The 25,008-nt window shown below is 48.1% G+C and overlaps 1 protein-coding gene and 1 long non-coding RNA gene across 4 annotated transcripts in view, besides 1 other annotated feature; one reads left to right on the plus strand and one right to left on the minus strand.

The window, feature by feature from the left end:
- Positions 1 to 10,266: 10,266 nt before the first annotated feature.
- Positions 10,267 to 23,260, minus strand: LOC105377778 (uncharacterized). Of its 2 annotated transcripts, XR_007060784.1 has the most exons (4): positions 23,034 to 23,260; positions 19,421 to 19,731; positions 15,742 to 15,852; positions 10,267 to 10,300 (listed from the first exon to the last, which is right to left on the minus strand). It is a non-coding gene; the product is annotated as an uncharacterized LOC105377778 (long non-coding RNA). The 2 variants fall into 2 exon arrangements; XR_001745757.1 differs by lacking the exons at positions 19,421 to 19,731; positions 23,034 to 23,260 and adding an exon at positions 16,662 to 17,245.
- Positions 20,507 to 25,008, plus strand: part of CLN8 (CLN8 transmembrane ER and ERGIC protein) — a 33,512-nt gene continuing 29,010 nt past the window's right edge. Inside the window, exons 1-2 of one of the 2 annotated variants that reach the window (XM_047421512.1) lie at positions 20,507 to 20,561; positions 23,447 to 23,530. The gene's annotated coding sequence lies outside the window, so the exon portion shown is untranslated. Of the gene's footprint in view, positions 20,562 to 23,203; positions 23,531 to 25,008 lie in introns of those variants that run through there. The other variant, XM_005266022.2, reaches the window with a different exon arrangement.
- Positions 22,824 to 24,023: an enhancer, noted in NCBI's record as "P300/CBP strongly-dependent group 1 enhancer chr8:1703542-1704741 (GRCh37/hg19 assembly coordinates)". NCBI's record gives its function as "activates an origin of replication core promoter dependent on BRD2, BRD4, P300/CBP, MED14 and CDK7 cofactors, with strong dependence on P300/CBP, by STARR-seq in HCT116 cells {active_cell/tissue: HCT116}" and the evidence as "EXISTENCE:reporter gene assay evidence [ECO:0000049][PMID:35650434]".

Consider the following 25,008-nt stretch of genomic DNA (forward strand, 5'->3'; position numbering starts at 1 on the left):
AGTCCTAGCCACTCAACAGGCTGCGACGGGAGGATCTCTTGACCCCAGAAGTTCAAGGCTGCAGTGAGCCGAGATTGCAGCACTGCACTCCAGCCTGGGTGACAGAGCAAGACCCTGTCTCAAAAAGGAAAAAGATAATTGTCAAGGGCAATGAAAAGAAATGCTTGTATTTTGGACTCATCATCTTTATTCCAAAGATAGTACTGCAGAATTTTAAGCACAGATCATGGTAGAGGAGGTGACATTGGAGAGTGTTATGGCCACAAACTGGCTTCTCAAGTTAATGAGTTTTTTTGTTTCAAGGCACATTAATTACGTTACGAACATTAAATTAACGCTACGTTACTTTTGCAGACCCTACGGACATACGGAGAGTCTACTTCACCATTTCTAATACCTAATTCAGTGGTGTGAAATTGTATCTGTTAGCACTGTAAAACTCTTTTCCCTTTTCTAATTGTTTTATCAGCAGGGGACGTAAAAGCTCATTAAAGCAATTTCCATGTGGAAAAAATTTAAAATTAAATTATCAGCCCTGAACTTACATTGAACTACAAGGTCACGGATTTTCTTTCACTTTACTTACAAGCTAATAAGTTGCCTTTTGCTATTTCATTGACGCTGCTAGAAGTCGGGAGACGCGTCGATCAGAGACCAGGGTTTTATTCCTCACTGCGCAGAAGACAGCACGGGCAGGAGTCTGTGGTTCCCTTGGCCCCACATCCCACAGGGCCGCGTGGAACAGCTCAGCTCGGTGCCGGGTGCACGCTGGCTCTGTGTCCCGGCCGAGGCACACGGACGCTGGGACCCTGTTCTATAGCAGACAGTCGATGCCTGCTCCTTGTCCGCGGGGGACACATTTCCTCCTCCCTCGAGGATGGCTCCCTGCACGCACAGCCCTGAGAGATGGTCCGGGAAAGAGCAATCCAGCCACAGTGCTCTGGACACGCCTGAGGAAGACACTTACACGTGGGAAGGACCCTGGGACTGTCTTTCCCAACAGCTATGGGCTTCGTGAGGAGAATAGGGAATTAGGGCAGCCCCGGGCTGGGGCTTTAGCAAATAACAGCAGGTGCAGTCAGTTCCAGGCAGGATCCGGCGGTACACAGGCCACAGCCTCTCTCCTGTGATAAGAAGACAGAAACCTCCACTTCAGCCTCTGATTGACCACGGCCTTCTCCACTTCAGCATCTGATTGGTCACAGGTCCATCCTTCATAGGGAATAACCAACTGGAGGCCGCTAAAGGGCACCTAGGGGTATTGCCAAGTTCTTTTGGCTTTATAAAAATCCTAATTGGGCCAGGCGCGGTGGCTCACACCTGTAATCCCAGCACAAGGTGGGTGGGTCGCTTGAGTCCAAGAGTTCGAGACCAGCCTGGCCAACATGGTGAAACCCCATCTCTGCTAAAAATACAGAAATAAGCCAGGCGTGGTGACAGGTGCCTGTAATCCCAGCTACTCAAGAGGCTGAGGCACAAGAATCACTTGAACCCCGGAGGCAGAGGTTGCAGTGAGCTGAGATCGCACCACTGCACTCCAGCCTGGGCAACAGAGTGAGACCCTGTCTCAAAAAAACAAAACAACAACAACAAAAAACCTAATTAGAGAGGCTCTTGAGTCGCTTGCTCAAGCCCATCCCACTTTGTGAATTGTGCTTTTGCTTCTTCAATAGATCTGTGCCTTGGTTACTCCCTCTGTTCTTCTGTTGTTTTGTTCTTTTGTTACTTTGTGCATTTTGTTCAGTTCTTCGTTCAACACGCCAAGAAACTGGACAACTCTATCCAGTAACATTCTGTTCTGAAGCCACAAAGATAATAAGATGCCTGTACTGAGAAGTCCAGGTGGCATTTTCTTACCCCCATCTTGACACTGCCGTTTTCTGTTTCGAACCCCAGTCCACCCCACAGCTCCAAACCACCCTCCCTGCCTCCACCTACAGCTGGCACCTGCTGCCGCGTCGTCGTGGGGCTGCCGCTGTGATCTGAGCCCGGGAGCAGGAAGGTCAGGCCTTGGTGCACCGGCTGGCCAGTCCAGACAGGAGTGCCTGCCTCACTCCAGGACTATGGACAGCACCTGTGATTTGCAGGTCCTTTCTTAAATTAACACCCACAGTCTAATTCCCAATGAACCTTGGACCTTCTCTAGCTCCCTGAATTCTCCAGGCCTAGCCTTGCAAAGTGATTGTGTGTGCTCACTAAGGACGTGTGACCTGTAATTTGTTTTTTAAAAAAAGAAAAGGGGACCGGGCGCAGTGGCTCATGCCTGTAATCCCAGCACTTTGCGAGGCCAAGGTGGGTGGATCACTTGAGGTCAGGAGTTCAAGACCAGCCTGGTCAACATGGTGAAACCCTGTCTCTACTAGAAATACAAAAATTAGCCAGGTATGGTGACAGGTGCCTGTAATCCCAGCTTCTCAGGAGGCTGAGGCATGAGAATCGCTTGAACCTGGGAGGCGGAGGTTGCAGTGAGCCAAGACTGCACCACTGCACTCCAGCCTGGGCGACAGAGCAAGACTCCATCTCAAAAAATAATAAATTTAAAAAAAAATTTTTAAAGGGAAAAGTAGAAATATTTTAAACGTTTAGCTCTAATAACAGCCTATTTTAACTGTATCAAAGAAGAAGGCGATTTCATAAGGCATTCCAGAAAAAACAAAATTCTAGCAGCGTTTGGGCTCCTAAACCGATCCAGCCATTTCCCTATGAAATGCCCTCAGGCCATCTCCATTTGAAACATGACGAATTGAGGCTTCCAGAGGTGAGATGGGAAACTGGCTTTTGAGTTTAACAATTCTCTGCACATATTCAGTTCTAGAGCACCAACCAGCTTTCACCATAATAACCATGAAGAGATTGTACAGGAATTCCTTATTTGAATTAAGTAATTGACACCAAGCAAACGTTTTACAGATTTATGCATTACGAAGGAGCTATGAAGGGCTAACAGACTTTGTAAAGTAAAACATATTTTATATTTGCTGCCTAAGGATATGTTTGGCTTCGGGGAAATGAAATTAGATTCACTAGATGAGATTCGAAGTGTAAAGCTCTGCAGTGTTCAGGGTCTCCCACAAGAGGGCAGTGTGCTAGCATTTGGAAGCAGCGGAGCCTCTTCCTGGACTCAGCTTGAATTGGAATTGACAACTAAGAAAACTATGATTAAACCCTGATTCTTAAGTTTATCTCACATAAAGCCAGTGTTCAAGGATGTTGAATAAACAACGATTAGTAAAACAACATTGTATTTCAAAATATGAGCAGTCCAATAAAAGCTATCGCAGAGCTAGTTGCCCTACTCAACAGGAAGTAGTATCTCCCATAACTAGCAATTCTCCTCTGAACTAATGAGCTATCACCCAGAAAGTAAACTGCATGTTAGATTAACAAGAAAATGTATAGGATACATTGAGTAGGAAGTGGCTGAGATATTTTAATTTTAATCCTTCATCAAAATCAGCCAATAACTGTTGTCTCTTCTAAGCTATTCCTTGCATGAAAAATCCTTACCAGCTGCCACTGGACTCTGGACAGAGGTCTCTGCCCCCACATGGGCCTCCCTTCTCCTGTTCCAGGTGGTAGAGAAGTTTCACAGCATCTCTCAGGAGAAGGCTGAGCACCCAGCGGTGTAGACCACAAGGATAAATCAGATGTGATGTCGTCCACATAGGGCTGGGGAGTTTTCCACAGAAGCTTCTACATTATATAATGTACAGACTTAATCTTGTTTTAACTCATTAACCGTTTTAATTCTTTTGAGGCCAGGCATGGTGGCTTATGCCTGTAATCCCAGCACTTTGAGAGGCCGAGGCAGGCGAATGGCTTGAGCTCAGGCGTTCAAGACCAGACGAGACAATGGTGAAAACCCATCTCTACAAAAAAAAAGACAAAAATTATCCAGACGTGGTGGCATGTGTCTGTAGTCCCAGCTACTCTGGAGGCTGAGGTGGGAGGATGGCTTGAGCCCAGGAGGTAGAGGTTGCAGTGAGCCAAGGTCACACCAGCGCACTGCAGCCTGGGCGACAGAGCCAGACCGTGTCTCAAAAAAAAAAGTATTGAGTGCACTTGTGTGTTTCCCCTTCTTAGTCATTCTGCACACCAGGGAACCAAGAGAGGAAGGAAAGAGAGAGACCAACAGAGAGACAAAGACAAAGACAGAGAGACAAGGACGGGAGAAAGGGAGGGAGATGGGGAGGAAGAAAGCCAATTTCATTAGGTGTCGTGCACAACATCAGAAAACTTTAACACCTATTTCCTATTTAACCCTAACACATGCTTGGTCTCAAGATAGATTAGCAAGAACCATTCCCCACCTTAATGTGGCTGGTGTATTCGTCTGTCTTGCGTTGCTATAAGGAACACCTGAGGCTGGATAGTATATGAAGAAACAGGTATATGTGGCTCATGGTTCTGCGGGTTGTTCCAGCATCTGCTTCTGGGGAGGCCTCAGGAAGATTTTTCTCCTGGCGGAAGGTGAAGGGGGAGCAGGTGTGTCAGGTGGCAAGAGAGGGAGCAAGAGAGAGAAGGAGGTGCCAGGCTCTTTTTTTTTTGAGACAGAGTCTGGCTGTGTCGCCCAGGCTGGAGTGCAGTGGCGCGATCTCAGCTCACTGCAAGCTCCGCCTCCCGGGTTCACGCCATTCTCCTGCCTCAGCCTCCTGAGTAGCTGGGACTACAGGCGCCCGCCACCGCGCCCGGCTAATTTTCTGTATTTTTTAGTAGAGACGGGGTTTCACCGTGTTAGCCAGGATGGTCCTGATCTCCTGACCTTGTGATCCACCCGCCTCGGCCCCCAAAGTGCTGGGATTACAGGCGTGAGCCACCGCGCCCGGCCAAGAGGCGCCAGGCTCTTTAAACAGCCAGATTTCCAGTGAACTCACTGGAGACAGCAGGAAGGCACCAAGCCATTCAGGAAGGATCCGCCCCCACAACACAGTCACCTCCCACCAGGCCCACCTCCAACACCGGGCGTCACATTTCCACAGGAGATTTGGAGGGGACACACATCCAACTATATCAATTGGCTTGTTCTTGAAAAAAAAAAATCACTTGTAAGGAATTGTGCTGGGCTCAAATACAATGACCCCTCCTCCCCTGTGGGAGCCTTGCTGTCTCCCAGAGCTCCTGCTACCCCCACAGACTCCCTCCTCTGCCCCCAGTGCCCTATCCCCATGAAAATCCCCTTTACTTGAAAACCAAGCCTGCCTGGCTCACCCCTCTCACCTGGGACTCCGACAGCCAAACATTGTTGTGGTTGTGAATGCTGGGATGAGAAAGCTGGAATGTTTAGCTTTGGGCTCACATTTCTCTACCCAGGTTGAGCTGGGCAATAGGAAATAACCTCTAATTTAGAATTCTAAACACGAAACATATTCACTATCTGATATAGTAGTAAGTTTAGGGGAGGAAAAACCCCTGAAACTCAGCCCCCAAACAGCACAAACCCTGACTGGAGTGAGATTTTTTGTCCCCACCCACATGCCTGCCATGAGTAACAGAAATTGCTTCCTGAAGATAATACATCCAGATCCTCAAATCATTTCTACAACCTTTAATAGGCAACAGCAACATTCAACCAAAACTTACCTGACAGAGATAAGACAAGAAAGAAATTACCGACAGCCAAGAAAAACAGGCAATAGGAAGAGATCGCGGGAATTTCAGGGGCTGGAGTTATGAGATGCGTCCTCTAAAAAACATGGGGTTACTCCATCCAAGTACTGAAGTGAGCCGATGGAGAATTTCACCAGAAAAGTGAAAATTATAATAATAAAAGAATCAAGTAGAAGTTTTAGAAATGTGAAATGTGATACGGAAAATAAGAACTCTAACGTGGACTGTAGGCAGCAAAGGAGGGGACGGGAAAAGTGGGCGAGTCCTCCGAAGCATTTGCACAGCCAGGACAGGTGGAGAACGGAGGAGGGAAATGGGCAGGGGGCACAAGAGACCAGGGCGCTCAGGACGGGGGAGCAGGTCCTCTGTGCACACACAGCCCCAGAAGAGAAGAGAGAATGGGGCAAAAGAATCATAAAGGAGGTGAGAACCAATGATTATTTTTATTTATTTATTTATTTTATTTATTTATTTATTTTTGAGACAGAGTCTCAATCTGTCACCCGGGCTGGAGTGCAGTGGCGCGATGTTGGCTCACTGCAACCTCTGCCTCTGGGGTTCAAGTGATTCTCCCACCTCGGCCTCTTGAGGAGCTGGGACTATAGGCGCCCACCACCATGCCCAGCTAATTTTTGTATTTTTAGTAGAGATAGGTTTTCACTGTGTTGGCCATGCCAGTCTTGAACTCCTGACCTTAGGTGATCCACCTGCCTCGGCCTCCCAGAGTGATGGGATTACAGGAGTGAGCCACCATGCCCGGCCCAATGATTTTTTTTTTTTTTCTGAGACGGAGTCTTGCTCTGTCACCCAGGCTGGAGTGCAGTGGTGCAATCTCAGCTCACTGCAACATCCACCTCCTGAGTTCAAGCAATTCTCCTGCCTCAGCCTCCCGAGTAGCTGGGATTACAGGCACCCGCCACCACACCCAGCTATTTTTTCTATTTTTAGTAGAGACCGGGTTTCACCATGTTGGCCAGGCTGGTCTCGAACTCCTGACCTTGTGATCTGCCCACCTCAGCCTCCCAAACTGCTGGGATTACAGGATGGTTTTTAATAACCAATCAAAGTCAAGTTAAACTCCAGCAGAAACAGATGAGTTTCCTGATGGTTGTGCACAGGCTTCGGACCCAAGGCAAGGTCTTCCTGTCTCGAGGCCTTCTGCCATCATCCTGCCTCCCCAGACATACCCCAGTGATATCGTTTGGATGTTTGACACCCCCAAAACCTCAGGCTGACATTGGATCGCCAGTGTTGGTGCCGGCCTAGTGGGAGGTGTCTGGTCACTGGTGTGGTGGGAGGCGTCTGGGTCACTGGTGTGATGGGAGGTGTCTGGGTCACTGGTGTGGTGGGAGGTGTCTGGTCATTGTGGTAGGAGGTGTCTGGTCACCGGTGTGGTGGGAGGTGTCTGGTCACCGGTGTGGTGGGAGGTGTGTGGTCACTGGTGTGGTGGGAGGTGTGTGGTCACTGGTGTGGTGGGAGGTGTCTGGTCATTGTTGTGGTGGGAGGTGTCTGGTCACTGGTGTGGCCCCTACATAAATGTCTTGGTGCCATCCTCACTCTATTTGTCTCATTTCATTAGCTCTCGCGAGATCTGATTGTTAAAAAGAGCCTGGCAGCTCCTTTCCTCTCTCTCTGTCCCTCTTTATGGCTTTTTTCCTCTTGGCATGTGATGCCTGCTCCGCTTCCCATTCCGCCATGACGCCACGAGCAGAATGATTTCTCACATTTTTTTTTTTTTTTTGAGACGGAGTCTAGTTCTGTCACCCAAGCTGGAGTGCAGTGGTGTGATCTTGGATCACTGCAACCTCTGCCTTCTGGGTTCAAGCGATTCTCCTGCCTCAGCCTCCCGAGTAGCTGGGATTACATGTGCCTGCCATTACGCCCAGCTAATTTTTGTATTTTTAATAGAGGCGGGGTTTCACCAATGTTGGGAAGGCTGGTCTCGATCTCCTGACCTCAGGTGATCCGCCCCCCTCAACCTCCCAAAGTGCTAGGATTACAGGCATGAGCCACTGCGCCCGGCCAATTTCTAATATTTCGGAGGCCTCACCAGTCGCAGATGCTGGCACCATGCTCCCTGTGAAGGCTGCAGAGAGGTGAGCCAAACACACCTCTTTTCTTTATAAATTACTCAGCTTCAGGTAGTCCTTGATAGCAAAACAAATGGACTAAGACACTCATCCTAACTCAGACCCCAGCTTCCCCATGAAGCTGTCAGCAAGACAGCAGCTATGCTCCCCTCCTCCCTCCAGAGTCTGATGGCCTCAGTCCCAGCACGTAGTTCAACCTCCAACTTGACTCTGCCTACCTCATGCAAATGAGCCTATCTCTTTATTCTTCAGGATCCAAAATGGCAACTCCCTGAAGCCAGAGAACCCATCAGAACTTAAAAGTAGACAATTTTTTTAGAGCAGTTTTTGGCTCACAGTAAAATGCACAGAAGGTACAGACACCTGCCATTCGCTGCCTGTCCCCTCTCCCCTGCACGCATAGCCACCCCCCACCAGCAAGTGTGGTGCATTTGTTACCATTGGTGAACCCACATGGACACGTCTTCATTGCCTGGAGTCCGTGGTTTACACGAGGGCTCGCTCTAGGTGTTGTTCATCCTCTGGGTCTGCACAGATGTACACTGACTCTTATCCACCATGACAGTGCCATGCAGAGTAGCTTCACTGCCCTGAAGATCCTCTGTGCAGTGTAACTTCATCACCGTTAGGAAGAAAACAATCTCTTTTAACATCACGTGTGAATAAGACAGATGATGTCCCAGCCCACCATGGGGCTTCCCATTCTTGTGAGGTGGGAAGGGCAGGACAGAAAATAAACAGTCCACAAAGAGATAAAAATAATTATCATGTCATTTTTATGACATGATAGATCATTCTATCATGAATGTTTAAGATCATTCAATGAGTGAAATGCAAGGACATGAGCGAGTAAGAGAGGGAGGCAGGCCCGACAGGTAGTGGCGTCCCAGGTGGTAGCTCCTCCTCGGAGCCCAGCCAGAGTTGAGACCTGAAGGATGAGGAGGACTTGGTCCTTGGACAATAGAAGAAATAAAGACCCAGGTAGAGAGGCAAAAGCAAATGTGAAGGCCCAGAAGCTTGAAAAGGCTGAGCCTGTCCTGGGAGTTATCAGAGGCACAGTCTGATCAGAGTGGAGTCAATAAGGAGTGGTGGTGAGACCCACGTTGGGTAAGGACAGAGACGTCCCATGCTTGACTCCTTGGACATGTGACCTCAGCTTCCTTAGCTGTAAAACGTGACAGGTGGCCAGGCGCGTTGGCTCATGCCTGTAATCCCAGCACTTTCGGGAGGCCGAGGCGGGTGGATCACGAGGTCAGGAGATCAAGACCATCCTGTCTAACACTGTGAAACCCCGTCTCTACTAAAAATTCAAAAAATTAGCCAGGCGTGGTGGCACGCAGCTGTAGTCCCAGCTACTAGGGAGGCTGAGGCAGGAGAATCGCTTGAACCCGAGAGGCGGAGCTTGCAATGAGCAGAGATCACACCACTGCACTCCAGCCTGGGCAAGAAAGCGAGACTCCGTCTCAAAAAAAAACAAAACAACAACAACAAAAAACACAAAACAAAATATGACAGGTGCCACTTGCTGTTGTGGAGGACATCCAGATGCTGTGAGTGATAAAGAAATGCGTGATGGCAGAATCTTTGTTTCCAAGAGTTTATAATTTGGTGGAAATAAAGTGGAGAAGCAGGAAGACCTACACAGTGGACTGGCAGAGCAGCAGAGTCCCTTGACCGTGCTGCAGGGCATTTCAAAGAGGACGGCAACGGGAGGTAAAAGAGGACGGCGAGGGGAGGAGGTGTCTGCTCCCAGGGAAACCTCCCCTGGGTGTTTGGCGATGTCTTCCCCACGTTCACATGATAACCTTTATCTGTCATGAGCAGGTGAAGGTTCAGATAAACACACAAACAGTGATCCTGTCAACATTCTTGTGCATGACCTTGTGTGCAATATGTTTGCATTTCTGCTGGTCGTGGGGAATCACAGTGTCGCCATGGAAGCTTCAGTTCAGTTTCAGTGGTTATTGGTCCAGGGTCAATGCAAAAATGTTACTTCCCCCCAGGGGTGCGCAAGTGAGTTCAGTTTCCACACAGTAGTGTGTGAGTGAGTTCAGGCCCCGCCGTGGTGTGTGAGTTCAGTCCCCTCAGTGCTGTGTGAGTGAGTTCAGTCCCCCCATGGTGTGTGAGTGAGTTCAGTTCTCCTCAGCAGTGTGTGAGTTCAGTTCCCACCAACAGTGTCTGAGTTCAGTTTCTCTGTATCCACACTGATTCCTGCTCCTCTTTCCTGACTTTGCTGTCCTGGCGGCTATGTAGTGATATCTCACTGTGGTTGTAAGCAGCAGCCACTGATGAATAACACAGGGGAGCATCCGTTGAGTAGCCATTTTGATCTTTTCTTTGGTACAGTGCTTGTTCAGGTCTTTTGCCCATTTCTCTATTTAAATCGCTTGTTTTTTCTAATTGATTTGTAGGAATTTCTTGCATGCTCTAAACTCAGGGGTCAAGGCTGTGGTCTGGTGTTGGTGTGGGTGTTGCACTCCTGCTGTCCCAGTCCCAGGTACTTGGGAGGCTGAGATAGGAGGATCGCTTGAGCCTGGGACGTCAGGGCTGCAGTGAGCCGAGGTTGCACCAGTGCACTCCAGCCTGGGTGACAGAGTGAGATCCTGTCTCAAAAATAATAAAATAAAATAAAATAAAATAAAATAAAATAAAAATAGTCAGGGATCAGCAAACTTTTCCAGTAATGAGCCAGAAAGTTAACCTTTTAGGCTTTGTGAGCCATGTGGTCTCTGTGGGACCTTTTCTCCTGCTGTCACGTAAAACAGCTGCAGACAATACTAAACCCATGAGCCTGGTGCTGTTCAGTTTATCTTATTTTGATGGACTTGAAAACGTGAACAGCATATCATTTTTACATGTCACAAAACATCATTCTCCTTCTACATTTTTGAACCATTAAAAAAAAATAAAATTCATGGTTAGCTTACAGAGAATACAAAATAAATGGATGGTGGACCTGATTTGGCCTGAGGGCCTTGTTTTGCCAGCCCTGCTCTAGATGAAGATCCTGGGTCAGTTACACACCTGGCAATAGCTTCCCTCAGGTTCCTAATGTTTTCCTTTGAGAAATGAAAGTGTTTTCCTTGGATGCAGCCCTGGTTCTCCTTCTTCCTTCGGGCAGGTGGCTGGTTTGGACTGGAAGGAAAGTGCATCTCCCCTGCTCTTTAGTGTCCTCTGGAGGGATAGGAGCACCCACAGATCTGCAATGATGGGTGCCAGCCGCCCCCGGCGGGGGAATGAGTGCTCACTATGAGGCAAGTGACCACCACGAGCAGGAAGGTCCCTCCCACTGAGGGACGGCTTGTGCAGTCCTGGCCTGGGGGCTGATCTCCACCATGGTTCCAATCTCCTCCTGCTATGCCTTTGCCATTTTCAGAGCTTATTCTCTTTCTCTGCTCTGAACAAATAGGCAGCCTAAAACTACAACCTTTAAAACTCTCCCATAAAGAAACCTGTGGCGTTGATGAATGTAGGGGGGGCTTCCCACTAGGAGGGGATGAGCGGGGCTTGATGTTTCCGCAGATGTCTGTGCCCGCACTGGCGACTCCGATACTCCAATGCAGGTTCATCAACTGTAACACACGGACCAGTCACGGCGTTGGCCGTTCTCTGGTTTGGGCACATGTAGAATGACACGTACCCACCATTACAGTGTCACTGCCTAAAATTCCTTCGTGCAGCATCCCTTTTCCGCTGGTAGGGGGGAAGCAACCTCTTTGAGCCTCACGGTGTGAATAAACACAGATGATCGTCCTGTAGAAAATAGCTGCTCCTTCATTTCCACCTTCCAAATTTCTGCAAATCTCTCTTTCCTCCAACAGGACGTTGGAACCATTCAGGGAAGGGAACTTTGAGAAACACAGATTAGCTAAGAGAACGCGGTACAGAGCCACTCAGAGAGAAGACAAATGCGTCATCACGACAAAGGCTCGACGCTGATAGGGTCAAGGCCCTTCTAGTGACAGAAGAGAGAGGGGAGAGCCAGCGGAAGGAGCCGCGTGCCTGGCGGGAGGCTCCTTGAGGACGAGAGAAGATGAAAACTCGGGAAGGCAGCTCCCTAGGCAGGTCTTCCGTGATATGCAGGAACTATCCCGGCTGGGAATGTGACGGTGAGACGTGACACCGCGAAGGATGGCAGCACGTGCACAAATAAGGGGTGAAGGTCAAGGGTGAGGTCTGGAAACGGGCTGGCGTGGCCGGGAGGGGGACTTCCTGGAGGAAGGTGCAGGGCAGGAAATGGGAGCAGGGCCCCTGGATGGGGCCGGATCCGAGGGGAGGGCAGGCACCTAAACACTTCGAGTACCCAATGGCGTGCCGCATGACACTTGCTATGACCTTGGCATCAACACGGGACCCGGCTCGTGATGGGCAAACTGCACGAGGATAAAAACGTTCCCCTGAGATGTTAGGAGAAAAAAAAAATTGGCCGGGCGTGGTGGCTCACACCTGTAATCCCAGCACTTTTGGAGGCCGAGGCTGGTGGATCACCTGAGGTCAGGAGTTTGAGACAGCCTGGCCAACATGAGGAAACCCCGTTTCTACTAAAAATACAAAAATCAGCCAGGCATGATGGCACACACCTGTAATCCCAGCTACTCGGGAGGCTGAGGTACAAGAATTGCTTCACCCCGGGAGGCAGAGGTTGCAGTGAGCCGAGATCACACCATTGCACTCCAGCCTGGGCGATGAGAGCAAAACTCCGTCTCAAAAAAAAAAAAAAAAAGAAAAAGCGGAAAAAAAGTCACAAGAACAGCTAAACAGCTCTATGTGGCCCTGAGCCTGGCACTCCGGTAGCACTTGGTGAACGCTGGATGAATGTAGCACTTGGTGAATGCTAGATGAATGGCTTAATGAGTCAGCAAAGGAAGCTCACCAGTTCTTCTTTTCCATGATGAAAAGGTAGTTTCCCCATATGACCATAGGCTCTCAATGGGCAGGGAGCGATGGAGACAGCTCAGCCTTTGATTCTAGTCCTTACATGGAAGACAGCGTATTGCAGAGACTCAGCCACAAAGAGAACTGAATACGGTGTCTGAAATTCTCCTTCTCCTGAATTGTCAATGTTGGTGTCTTTTCGCTTCTGAACAGCATTCCGTGAGAGAACCACGACCCTGGCCCAAACGTGTAGGCTGTGGCTGGCTGTTTTGTTTTGTCGTGGTTTGTCTGGATGCACAAAAATGCTTAAGCTTTAAGTCTCTGATAGTTTACATTTTGTGATGTAAGAACAAGAAAAAAAAACTTCCTCCAACCTAATGCTCTCTGCAAACCAGAAACAAAGTAAACAAGCAAAACCTGCTCTGCTCAGCTTCCGTAATTCCAAATGTTTTATAAGGGTGACTGCAGCATTGGCGGCTTGCTATCTCCAGACTGTGGGCTGTCCCTCACAGCCAGGCCATGACTCAGTCACCTCTTGCTCTCTCGGGGTGTCTGCCCAATGGATTTGTCACAGAATCAGAGGCCCAGTGAGTGACCAAGGCTTGCCTGAGCAGGATATGAAAGCCGCGCTGCTAGAATCTAAGCTGGACCGCAGCATAGGCCACGCGCTTTCCATCCTACCTGCCCTGTAACGTGACTGACGTTAGCTGCGGTGGGGCGAGGAGCGCCGTCTTGTGTCCTGAGTTTGATCACCTCGTCAGACCACAAGTTGGAGGTGTGGGTTTCTGAAGTGACAACATCCTCACTGAAATTCTGCCCATGCACTTTCTCTTCTCATTTTGTTTCCACCCACCGTGACCTTTTTCCTCTTTTTCCACCCCAAAGGAAGAGAAATGTCAAGAAAATAACACTACAGAGCACATATGGAGGAAAGGCAGACAGTGCAAAGATTGCAATAACTGTGTTCCTCCAAGTTATAAGATGTGGAAATAAGACAAGTGATGGGTCCCACGTCCAACGTGGCTCGGCTAGAAGGTGCTTTCTGCTTTAATATGTGGGGATTTCTGGCTGTCTCTGGACTGTGCCCAACAATAAGCCCTAAAAAGTGAACCCTGATTCAGCTGTGAGGGCCTGAGGTCCAGCAGCTCTGCACTGTGGCTCTCTGGCCCCACCCACCCCAGCTTGTGACTGGTGAGTCACCCAGCCCAGCAGACACCATCGTGCCCTCTGCAGATGCACAAGCTGCTTCCTGCCTTGCTTTCCTCCCAGAGCTGTTTGCCATAAATGACCACACGTGTAAGAAAGCACATTGCATACTTCTAACATTCGGTGTGAGCACCACGTGTACACATAAACAAGTATCCGTGCGTTTATCTACAAAATAGAAGTAGTCCAAGGATATGGTACAGCTGTTAAAAGGCTTGACAAAATTGAAACACAGTAATGGTGCTTCTGAAGTTTGCCAAATTTCTATGATGATGAAAAAGCTTTTATCCCAGATACAAAACCTTTGTTCTCAGCATCATCTAGTGACAAGTCGATGGGACTAGGCATTAAGAGATGGGATGTGGATTAAGTAGGATCACTGGGTTTTGGTGAAAGACACCGTTATGAGTTGAATTATACCCCATTCAAAAAAAAAAGGTATGTTGGAGACCTAACCACCCCCCATACCTGGAAATGTGACTTTATTTGGAAATAGGGTCTTGTCTATTTCCAAAGAGGGAATGAAATTAAATCAAATTCAGATAAGGTCATGAGGGAGGATCCTAATTGAATACAGTCAGTGTTCTTATAAAAAGGGGAAACTGGGACACAGAGAGACACACACAGAGGAAGGACACCACGTGAGGACTGGAGCTCCACCACCGAGCCGAGGAGCCACTCAGCCCAGGGGCCACCCAGCCGAGGGGCCACCGGAGGCCAGATCCAGGCCCAGCTGGGACAGACCCTCCCCTGGAGCCTTCAGGGGAGCTCAACCCTGCGGACACCGGGATCTCCGACTTCTGGCTTGGGAGAGAAGACCGTCCTATTGTTTGTGGCACTTTGTTATGGCAGCCCTAACAAACTGATACAGACCCTAAAGCGAGAGGGGTGAACACAGTTCTGACTTTGAAGGCACCAAAGCCCACGTTTGCATTCCAGTTCTGATGCTTATTGATGGTGGCACCACCTGATTTCTCTGAGCTTATTTTCTTTTCATTTATTTATTTTTGAGAGGGAGTCTCACTCTGTCGCCCAGGCTGGAGTGGAGTGGCATGATCTCAGCTCACTGCAGCCTCTGCCTGCTGGGTTCAAGCGATTCTCCTGCCTCAGCCTCCTGAGTAGCTGGGAGTACAGGCACCCGCCACCATGCCCAGCTATTTTTTTTTTTGTATTTTTAATAGAGACAGGGTTTCACCATGTTGGCCAGGCTGGACTCGAACTCCTGACCTCAGGTGATCCACCTGCCTCAGCCTCCCAAAGTGCTGGGATTACCAGTGTGAGCCACTGCAACCTGGCTTTATTTTCTTTGTAAAAAGACATGTGTATCTATCTGAACACACAGATTACAGATACAGATGTGGACATAGATGTAGCTATGGACATAGATGTATATAGATATAGATATAGTAATATAGTTTAGATATTTGTCCCCACCCAAGTCTCATGTTGAGTTGTAATCTCCAGTGTTGGAGATGGGGTCTGGCGGGAGGGGTTTAGTTCGTGGGTGAAGATCCCTCGTGGCTTTGTGCTGTCCTCACAATGGTGAGTGAGTTCTCAGGAGGTCTGGGTGTTTAAGTGTGTGGCAGCTCCCCCAACCCACTCTCTCTCTCTCTGACTTCAGCTCTGTCCATGTGACACACCTGCTCCTGCTTCACCTTCCGCCATGAGCAAAAGCTCCCAGAGGCCTCCCCAGAAGCGGAGCAGATGCTGGTACGATGTTTGCGCAGCCTGCAGAACCGTTAGCCAATTCCACCTCTTTTCTTTGTAAATGACCCAGTCTCAGGTATTTCTTTATAGCAATGCAAGAATGACTTAACAGATATAGACACAGCTGTGATATGGGTATAGATGTAGAAATATAGAGATATGGGTATGGGTATAGATATTGATATGACTGTAGATGTAGATGTAGGTGTATATGTAGACACAGATAAGGATACAGACATATAATTGGCACGCGTACCTGGGATAACACAGATAAAGATGCTTCCTCTCTCTTCTCCTAGACCGGGAGCTCACTGGCAGCAAAGACCCCACATTGCTTCCTGTGTCCATCCCAGTGACACAGCTGCACCTAGGCACACAGCGGATGTCCTTGAGCACCTGTCAGGAAGGCTGACACAGCCTAACCCGCTTGCTCACTCCTCCGACCTCCCACGTGAATGGTACCCCACCAGCCACTATGGTGATGAACAACCCGAGGTCGGTGTCTGGCTGGAAGTTCCCTGGCCCTCAAAAATTATTTTATGTATGGAACATATGGTTTAATGTTTAAATTCTTTAAACTTGCCCGACATAATTGAGCTCACCGATTAGCCCACAGCTAAGGAGTCCTTGCCATTATATCTATGTCCTTCTCTTTATCTTGTTTCCAGCAGCCCCACCCTGCCCTGGCCTGAGCCCCCCACATCCCCCTTGCTGCAAAAATGAATCATTCCCCCTACCTTCCCCAGCTCTGCCCCAATTCCAGGTCAGGCTTTTGTGCTCCAGAAATCATCTACGGGTTTTCCACATAATGCCCATGACAATTTAGCGTCTCTTACCAACATCAGCATCAAGAAGCTACATAAAATGCGTGGATGTTAAATCTACAGTGAGAGCTCCTGGATAGCTCCGTGCCCCAGATTCGCTAATCAGCCTGCAAACCATTTGCACGCAGGCTTTCGTTTACAACAAGAGCTTACATTTTAGCATGAGGCAGAAAGACAAGAAACTCTCACAGATCTCATCTATTCTTCTTTTCAATTACTTTGTAATTCTACACTTCCATTAAGAAGTTAATTACTTCAACGTTAACCTTCCATCTATCTTTGTAACATAAAACAAAGATTGGATAAAAATACAAGGACTTACTAAAATGGCAAACGCTTATAGAACACTTACGAGGTGGCAGGCGGGGTTTTCAGGGCTCCGCTCATTGAGTATATTAACCGGGATTCCCGTGAGGGCTGTGAGACAAACACGGGCAGTGCTCAAAACGCTTCACAGCCAGTTCAGCTCCACGTTGATTGCTGAGTCGTGGAAACGTGCAAGGGGTCCCGGAGAGTCAACTGTTTACCAACTGGCTTGGGAGTATTCAAATGTGTAACAACGGAACGCTGATGTGCCGGGGTATGTGGCCTGAATCCCACCAGCCTCTGTGGCAGGAACAGCATCAGCCCATTTTATAGAGAAGGAAACTGAGGCCCAGAGACAGGAAGCGACATTCCCAGGGCTCACAGACAGCATGGGTGCAGATGGACCGTGCAGTCTGGTTTCCACAGCTGAGCCAGTGGCCTCTGCACTAACTGTCTCAATTCTGGGACTGGAAATGGACTGTGTGTGTACGTTACAATATTGTTTTAACAACCAGATACATTTTCTGACTTCCTATGAAAGCTTTCAAATGCACAGAAAAAGTGAAAAAGAAATAAGATGAATACTCATGTACCAAACAACCAGATCGACGATTCTTATTGTTCAGTCATATTTACTTCAGCACATACACATACACACCATCCTCACACACATACACATACACACACGTACACGTTCACACAGACACATACATACTCACACACATATGCTGACATACACACACACTCACATACACTCTTGCACACACAGCTGAGCCCTTTCAGAATAAACCACCATACTGTCACTCGAGCCCAGTGCTTCAGCACATTTCTCTTAAAAACATAAACTTTTGGCTGGGCACGGTAGCTCACACCTGTAATCCCAGCACTTTGGGAGGCGGAGGTGGGCGGATCACCTGAGGTCAGGAGTTCGAGACCACCCTGACCAACATGGAGACACCCCATCTCTACTAAAAGAAACAAAAATACAAAATTAGCCAGGCTTGGTGGCGCGTGCCTGTAATCCCAGCTACTTGGGAGGCTGAGGCAGTACAATCGCTTGAACCCGGGAGGCAGAGGTTGCGGTGAGCCGAGATCACGCCACTGCACTCCAGCCTGGGCAATAAGAGGGAAACGTCATTTCAAAAAAAAAGAAAGTCAGCAATAAGTCACTAAGACTACCGAATGCTCAGTCCATATTGAAATGTCCCCAGTTGTCCCTGAGGATGCGTCTGACCACTGCCTGTTGGAAAAGCCCCCAATCACGGCTCACATGGTGAGTGCAGTTGTCACATGTCTTTGGCTGTTTTAATCTAGACTCAACTCCCTGACACACACACACTCCCCAACCCGCTCCCAGCACACTGATCTGTTATGGAGACCTGGCCAATTGTCCACATTCTAGATTTGTCCGGTTCCCTATGGCTTCGTTTAACTGGTTCCTCTGTGGCCTGGATTTTCTGCCACATGGAATTTCAGCCTTGATTGGCCAGAAAGCTTCACAGGGAATACCTCGACTCACAGCATCATGCCCGGAGCCAGGTCCCCTCAGGCTGACCACACACATTTTAATGATAGTCAAAGATGTATCAAGCAAGATAATTCAGTAAAAAATTCTAATGTTAATAAAAATGCTGGCCAGGCGCGGTGGCTCACGCCTGTAATCCCAGGACTTTGGGAGGCCGAGGAGGGCGGACCACCTGAGGTCGGAAGTTCAAGACCAGCCTGACTAACATGGAGAAACCCTATCTCTGCTAAAAATACAAAATTAGCCAGGCATGGTGGTGCATGCCTGTAATCCCAGCTACTAGGGAGGCTGAGGCAGGAGAATCGCTTGAACCCCAGAGGCAGGGGTTGCGGTGAGCTGAGATCATGCCATTGCACTCCAGCCTGGGCAACAAGAGCAAAACTCCGTCTCAAAAGAAAAATAAATAAATAAATACATAAACAGATAAATACATAAATACATAAATAAATAAATAATCTGGTTGGGCGTGGTGGCTGAGGCCTGCAATCGCAGCACTTTGGGAGGCCAAGGCAGACAGATCACCTGTGGTCAGGAATTCGAGACCAGCCTGACCAACATGGTGAAACCCCGTCTTTACTAAAAATACAAAATTAGCTGGGCGTGGTGGTACGTGTCTGCAGTTCCAGCTACTCAGGAGGCTGAAGTAAGAGAATCGCTTGAACCCAGGAGGTAGAGGTTGCAGTGAGCCGAGATCACACCCCTGCACTCCAGCCTGGGCAACAAGAGTGAAACTCCGTCTCAAAAAAAAAAAAAAATCTGATGTTAAGAAATATGCTGGCTGTGCATGGTGGCTCACGCCTGTAATCCCAACACCATGGGAGGCTGAGGCAGGAGGATTGCCTGACCCTAGGAGTTCAAGACCATCCTGGGCAACATAGAAAGACTCTATTTCTACAAAAAATACAAAAATTAGCTAGAAGTGGTGGCTCCCACCTGTGGTGCCAGCTATTCAGGAGGCTGAGATGGGAGGATCGCTTGAGCCTAGGAAGTCAACGCTGCAGTGAGCCGTGATTGCACCATTGCCCTCCAGCTTGGGCGACAGAGCAAGACCGTGTTTCAAAACACACACACACACAGAGACACACACAGACACAGACACAGACACACAGAGACATACACAGACACACACACACAGACACACACACAGACACACAGAGACATACACAGACACACACAGACACACACACAGACACACAGAGACACACACAGACACACACACACAGATACACATACAGACACACACGAACACACATACAGACACACACAGACACAAAACAAACCTGCTGAGACTGAGGTTTGGATGCCCCTTAAGTTCAGGGGTAGTGATGAAAGTGGAGTCGTGTCAGGGAAAGCAAATTTAAATTCCCCAAAGTGCTTGTTCTGGTCATAGAGCTTTGTCCATTTCCTAAAAGAAAGCCTGTCTTGCGGTGTGGGCCGGTAACCTGGCTCCGGGCTTGTCCCTTTTGTGGGGAAGTATTTAACAGTCAGCGGCCAGCCTGTCTTGTCAGACAAAGATCCATGTTTTGTACTTAACCTTGATACCCCAAATTCTTGACACCCCAACCTCTGGCAATCGGTCCATTGAGAAACCCTGTGGACAAAACAGAGGAGGAGGGTGGGCAGCAGGTGAGAAGATGTCATCGGCCTACCTGGTTATCTTTTTCACTCTTAATAGAATCTTTCCAAATATCATTTTCTTCTTATTATTTGCTTTTTATTATGAAAATTTCCAAACATATAGACATGTTGAGATGACAATAAATAAGGAACAGAAACATGCTCTTATCTTTAACGGCTGCTAACGTTTTGCCTTCTTTGCTTCATCTAGCTTTCTTTCTTGCTGATGTATTTTAAAGTAAATTGGGGACATGACGACATTTCATCCCTAAAAGCATCTCTACACATCTCTAAAAAATAAGAACCTTTTCCTGTAGAACCACAATGCCACTAACCATCCCATAAAATTAAGGATCTAACATCATCTAATGCTGGCTATATCCATAATTTCCCAATTACTTGAAAAATGTATTTTCCAACTGGTTAGTTGACATCTGGATTGAATTCAGGACTACACATTTGGTTTTCTGTCTTAAGTCTCATTCAATGGAATAGTCCTGTCACTTTTTTTTATTCTTTCATAGCATTGAATTGTTGAGAAGACAATGCCTGAAGTCTGAATTCGTCTGTTTCCTTGTGGTGTCATTTAACTTGTTTCCTATTCCCTGTATTTCCTGCTGACTGGCAGGTTGATCAAGAGTTCTATGTATTTAAGTTAAATATTTACTCGAGAGTCTCTCACAGGTGGTCCTGTGTGCTTCCTACTGGACAGCCTCAGAAGGCATGTGGCTCACATCCCACTATGATGACGCAAAGATCTTCCTCTGAGTTAGACGGTGGCAGCCTCATCTCCTCATCAGCAAGGTACATTCTCCCCTTTCTGATAATTACATAAGTTGGGAGGTTGGTACGTGGCAAGGTGTGCAGCTCCTCACTGTCTTTCTGCCTAATGGTTTCAGGAATCTGTTACTGATTCTTGCCCACCTCATTATTTTTATTAGGAGTTCACAGATGGTGATTTTGAAATTTTGTCATTCCTGGCTGGGCGCGGTGGCTCATGCCTGTAATCCCAGCACTTTGGGAGGCTGAGGTGGGCAGATCACCTGAGATCAGGAGTTCGAGACCAGCCTGGCCAATACGGTGAAAACCCATCTCTACTAAAAATACAAAAATTAGCCAGGCATGGTGGCAGGCACCTGTAATCCCAGCTACTCGGGAGGCTGAGGCAGGAGAATGGCTTGAACCCAGGAGGTGGAGGTTGCAGTGAGCCAAGATCACGCCATTGCACTCCAGCCTGGGTGACAAGAGTGAAACTGTTTCAAAAAAAAAAAAAAAAGAAAGAAAAAGAAAAAACAGGCTGGGTGTAGTGGCTCACACCTGTAATCCCACACTTTTGGAGGCCGAGGCAGGCAGATCATGAGGTCAGGAGATCGAGACCATCCTGGCTAACATGGTGAAACCCCGTCTCTACTAAAAATACAAAAAAATTAGCCGGCTGTGGTTGTGGGTGCCTGTAATCCCAGCTACATGGGAGGCTGAGGCAGGAGAATTGCTTGAACCCGGGAGGCAGAGGTTGCACTGAGCTGAGATCGCGCCATTGCACTCCAGCCTGAGTGACAAGAGTGAACCTCCATCTCAAAAAAAAAAAAGAAAAGAAAATTTCTCATTCTCTTGCATACTCATTACTGTACAGTCCTAATCAAGGAGGGGGATTCAGGTTGGTGGGACCAAAGGAAAGCAAAAGGATAAGCTGTGAGTCTGCCTTTCTTCATTGTCCAAGACACACAGGCCCCCTGCACAAATAACTCAGTCTTCCTGTGCCCAGCAATCACCAGACCTTCGCTGATACAAAAATTGCAAGTTAGCTCCCTGCAACCTTGGCGTTACTAGCACTGCACATAGCCCTCTCCAGCACACACCACGAGCATGATCCTATCAAATCCCCTGCAAGTGTCTGTTTCCTGGCAGTCAGCTCCTCTCCTGCTGGCCTGCCCGTTGCTCCCTTGCAATGTACTTTCATACTTTTTCTAATAAATCTGCCTTTCTTTACCAACAACTGTCTTGGTAAATTCTTCTTAACCCCTGCATTACACCATTGGCTTTAGATAATCGCCAGGCACCCACAACAATTACTTTCCAGTCTTATGTAAAAATGAAGTTTCCCTCTCCACTGGGTCTCTTTATTTGTCTTTGACTATCTTTATTTGTTTTGAATATCTTTATTTGGTCTCAACATGTCTATCAGCCTGATTCTCTTTTGTAGTGAGGACGTTCTTATAAGCATTCCCAGGAAATAACGGATATTTTCAGAACTTGAGATCTTTCTGAGAGTATAGCAGTGATATACTTCTTCTCCAAAACACTTCAGCATCTAAAGCTGCTGTCGAACACACATTTTTCATCCTCAGACAACTACTCATAGGAAAGCACCCAAGAGGGAACTTGGTGGAAGGCTGGGTGAAAGTGGAGAGCAGGGACTATGGGCAAGCCGTCTGTAGACATCCCAACACCATGCCTGCTCTGAGGATGCAATGAGCTGGGGAAGGCTTGGTGGCTCAGTGGATAGTTCACAGCGCATGTCTGGGTTCAGCTGCTCACCTGGTGCCCTGGGGTCAAACAGGCCATCTCTGCCTGCCCAGAAGCAGGCCGGAAGTTCTTTCTTCAAAAGAGATCAGCCACTGAAGGAGAAGGAGCCTTGCTGCAAAGCTCCAGAACCCCTTCCGTGACAGTGCTGCTGGTCTTGTGATATCCTCTTCCCTACAGACCTCCGAGCCAATGAGATCTGCTGGGGCTGCCAGATCTGCTGGCTTCTAAGGGCCACTTCAGGTTGAGTCTATCAAGACCTTCGTCATTCCATGAAATCAAGACGTTCGTCATTCCATGAACTTCTCCCTTTCCCAGCAAGTGAAAAAGAAGTGACCCTTCTGGGAAAGGGAGAAGTTGGTGAAATGACACGGGTCTTGATAGACACAACCTGACATAGACTAACAGATGGGTTAGTCTAACTAACAGAGAGGTTAGTCTATGTCATGCATTAAACTTTCCTTTACTCTGGGTCCAAACCTTACAAAGTCCTCCATGGAGTCAGAGATTGGATCCCCACCCGACTCCCCTCGCTCTTCCCATCCTGTTTTCTCTCACTGGCATGGAGCTGTAGTCTCCAAGCCCCTCAGTGGCCCCACACAGACCCCTCCCCACCTTTGTGGTCTGGCAAGAAGCCTCTGCCCACAAGATACAAGTGCCTCCCCCCGTTCTACCCCTTCAGAGACAGCTGGCTTGTGTTACATGTTCTCTGAACACCGTGTCGCAGGTCCTGACATATCAGCTGCTCTTTACCTTGAAATGACTTAGATCACAACCGGTCTGCCCAGAGGGCTGGGGGTTGGACGCACCACAACCTGGCCCAGCCTCTCCTGCGGGGATGACCGACAATCCATCCAATCCATCGGGTGGCAGCCCCACTTCCTCAGCAGAGACAACATCCTGTTACACCCTCTCTTCATGCTGAGTGATTCTAACCTCCTCTGGAATGAACTCCATGCTTGCAGAGTCATCTTCAGAATGAGTCAGCTCCGCTTGTCCCAGGCAGGAGACTCACGAGTTGATGTGAAATGCGGATTCCCTATGAGACGGAGGACATTGCATGTCTCATCCCATCACGACCGTGTGGGTCTCGTTATTTCATAAGAGAGGGGGAAAATGTGAATTGGAATTTTATTTCCTAAGTACTGTTCTTGGTTTCTGACCAGCTGATCCCAAGTTTCACATCCTTGTCTGTGAAGCTAAACTCAATGCTGCTGTGTGGGAAGAAGATTTGTAAAGAAAACTCTTAGGTAAGTTTTCATTGTTTGGTGTTTAACAAATACACCACTTCCCTGTGCTGCTTTCTGGATCTGCCTACTTTGTAACATTCTACCTGACATTTTAAATACACAAAATTTCACTAAATTTCAGCCAGGCGCTGTGGCTCACGCCTGTAATCCTAGCACTTTGAGAGGCTGAGGCAGGCGGATCATGAGGTCAGGAGTTCAAGACCAGCCTGGCCAACATAGTAAAACCCCGTCTGTACTAAAAAAATACAAAAATTAGCCGGGTGTAGTGGTATGTACCTGTAGTCCCAGCTACTCAGGAGGCTGAGGCAGGAGAATTGCTTGAACTCAGGAGGCAGAGGTTGCAGTGAGCCGAGACCGCACCATTTCACTCCAGCTTGGGTGACAGAGTGAGAATCCATCTCAAAAAAAAAAAAAGAAATTTCACTAAATTTAAATTTCTTTTATACATCTGTATATTTGATTTATACCATATTATGCTGTATGTTTGGGGGAGAGGGGAGGCTAGGTTTGAGTCTATAAATTTGTTCCTAAAATAGTAACAGGATGAAAAATAAATCAAAGTGATTATACCTCTCTCTAGGTATGAATTAAGCATTCCTTTTTTTTTTTTTTTTTTTGAGACAGAGTTTTGTTCTTGTTGCCCAGGCTGGAGTGCAATGGCATGATCTCTGCTCACTGCAACCTCTGCCTCCCGGGTTCAAGCAATTCTCCTGCCTCAGCCTCCCAAGTAGCTAGGATTACAGGCAACCACCACCACACCTGGTTAATTTTTGTATTTTTAGTAGAGACGGGGTTTGACCATGTTGGTCAGGCTGGTCTAGATCTCCTGACCTCAAGTGACCCACCCACCTCGGCATCCCAAAGTGCTGGGATTACAGGCATGAGCCACCATGCCTGGCCTGAATTAAGCATTTCTTAAAGCTGCACTAAAGTCCTTTAGGTCACCCAAGTGCCATTTGATATCATTCCAAGAGATGAAGCTGGAGAGCAGGCCTATTTGGGGCAGCGGAAAGTCCACTTCGAGGCCAGCGTCCCTCTCTCTACAGTTTTAGTTTTTAAGCGGAGGTGTGTCCTCTTCCAGGATATACATTTTTCAAGCTCACCACCATTGATGTTGGGGCTGGGCCATTGCCGTGGGGCTGCCCTGGGCATTGTCGGAAGCCTGGTAGCTTCTCCCCTCTGAAGGTCAGCAGCAGCAACCTGCTTCTCAACCAAGGTCATGACAACCCAAAAACGTCTCCAGACACTGCCAAATGTCCCCACGGGAGGGGGCGTAGAGGACAGTGTGCTATGGTGGCCCCACAGTAGCTATCTTTGTTGCCCTAGAATCAACATGATCTTGTCAAGGCACTTTTTTTGGTTTTGTTTCGTTTTTTGAGATGGAGTCTTGCTCTGTAGTCTAGGCTGGAGTGCAGTGGCACAGTCTCAGTTCACTGCAACCTCTGCCTCCCAGGTTCATGTAATTCTCCTGCCTCAGC

The sequence above is a fragment of the Homo sapiens genome, chromosome 8 (genome assembly GCF_000001405.40).
Source record: "Homo sapiens chromosome 8, GRCh38.p14 Primary Assembly".
Classification (NCBI taxonomy): Eukaryota; Metazoa; Chordata; class Mammalia; order Primates; family Hominidae; genus Homo; species Homo sapiens.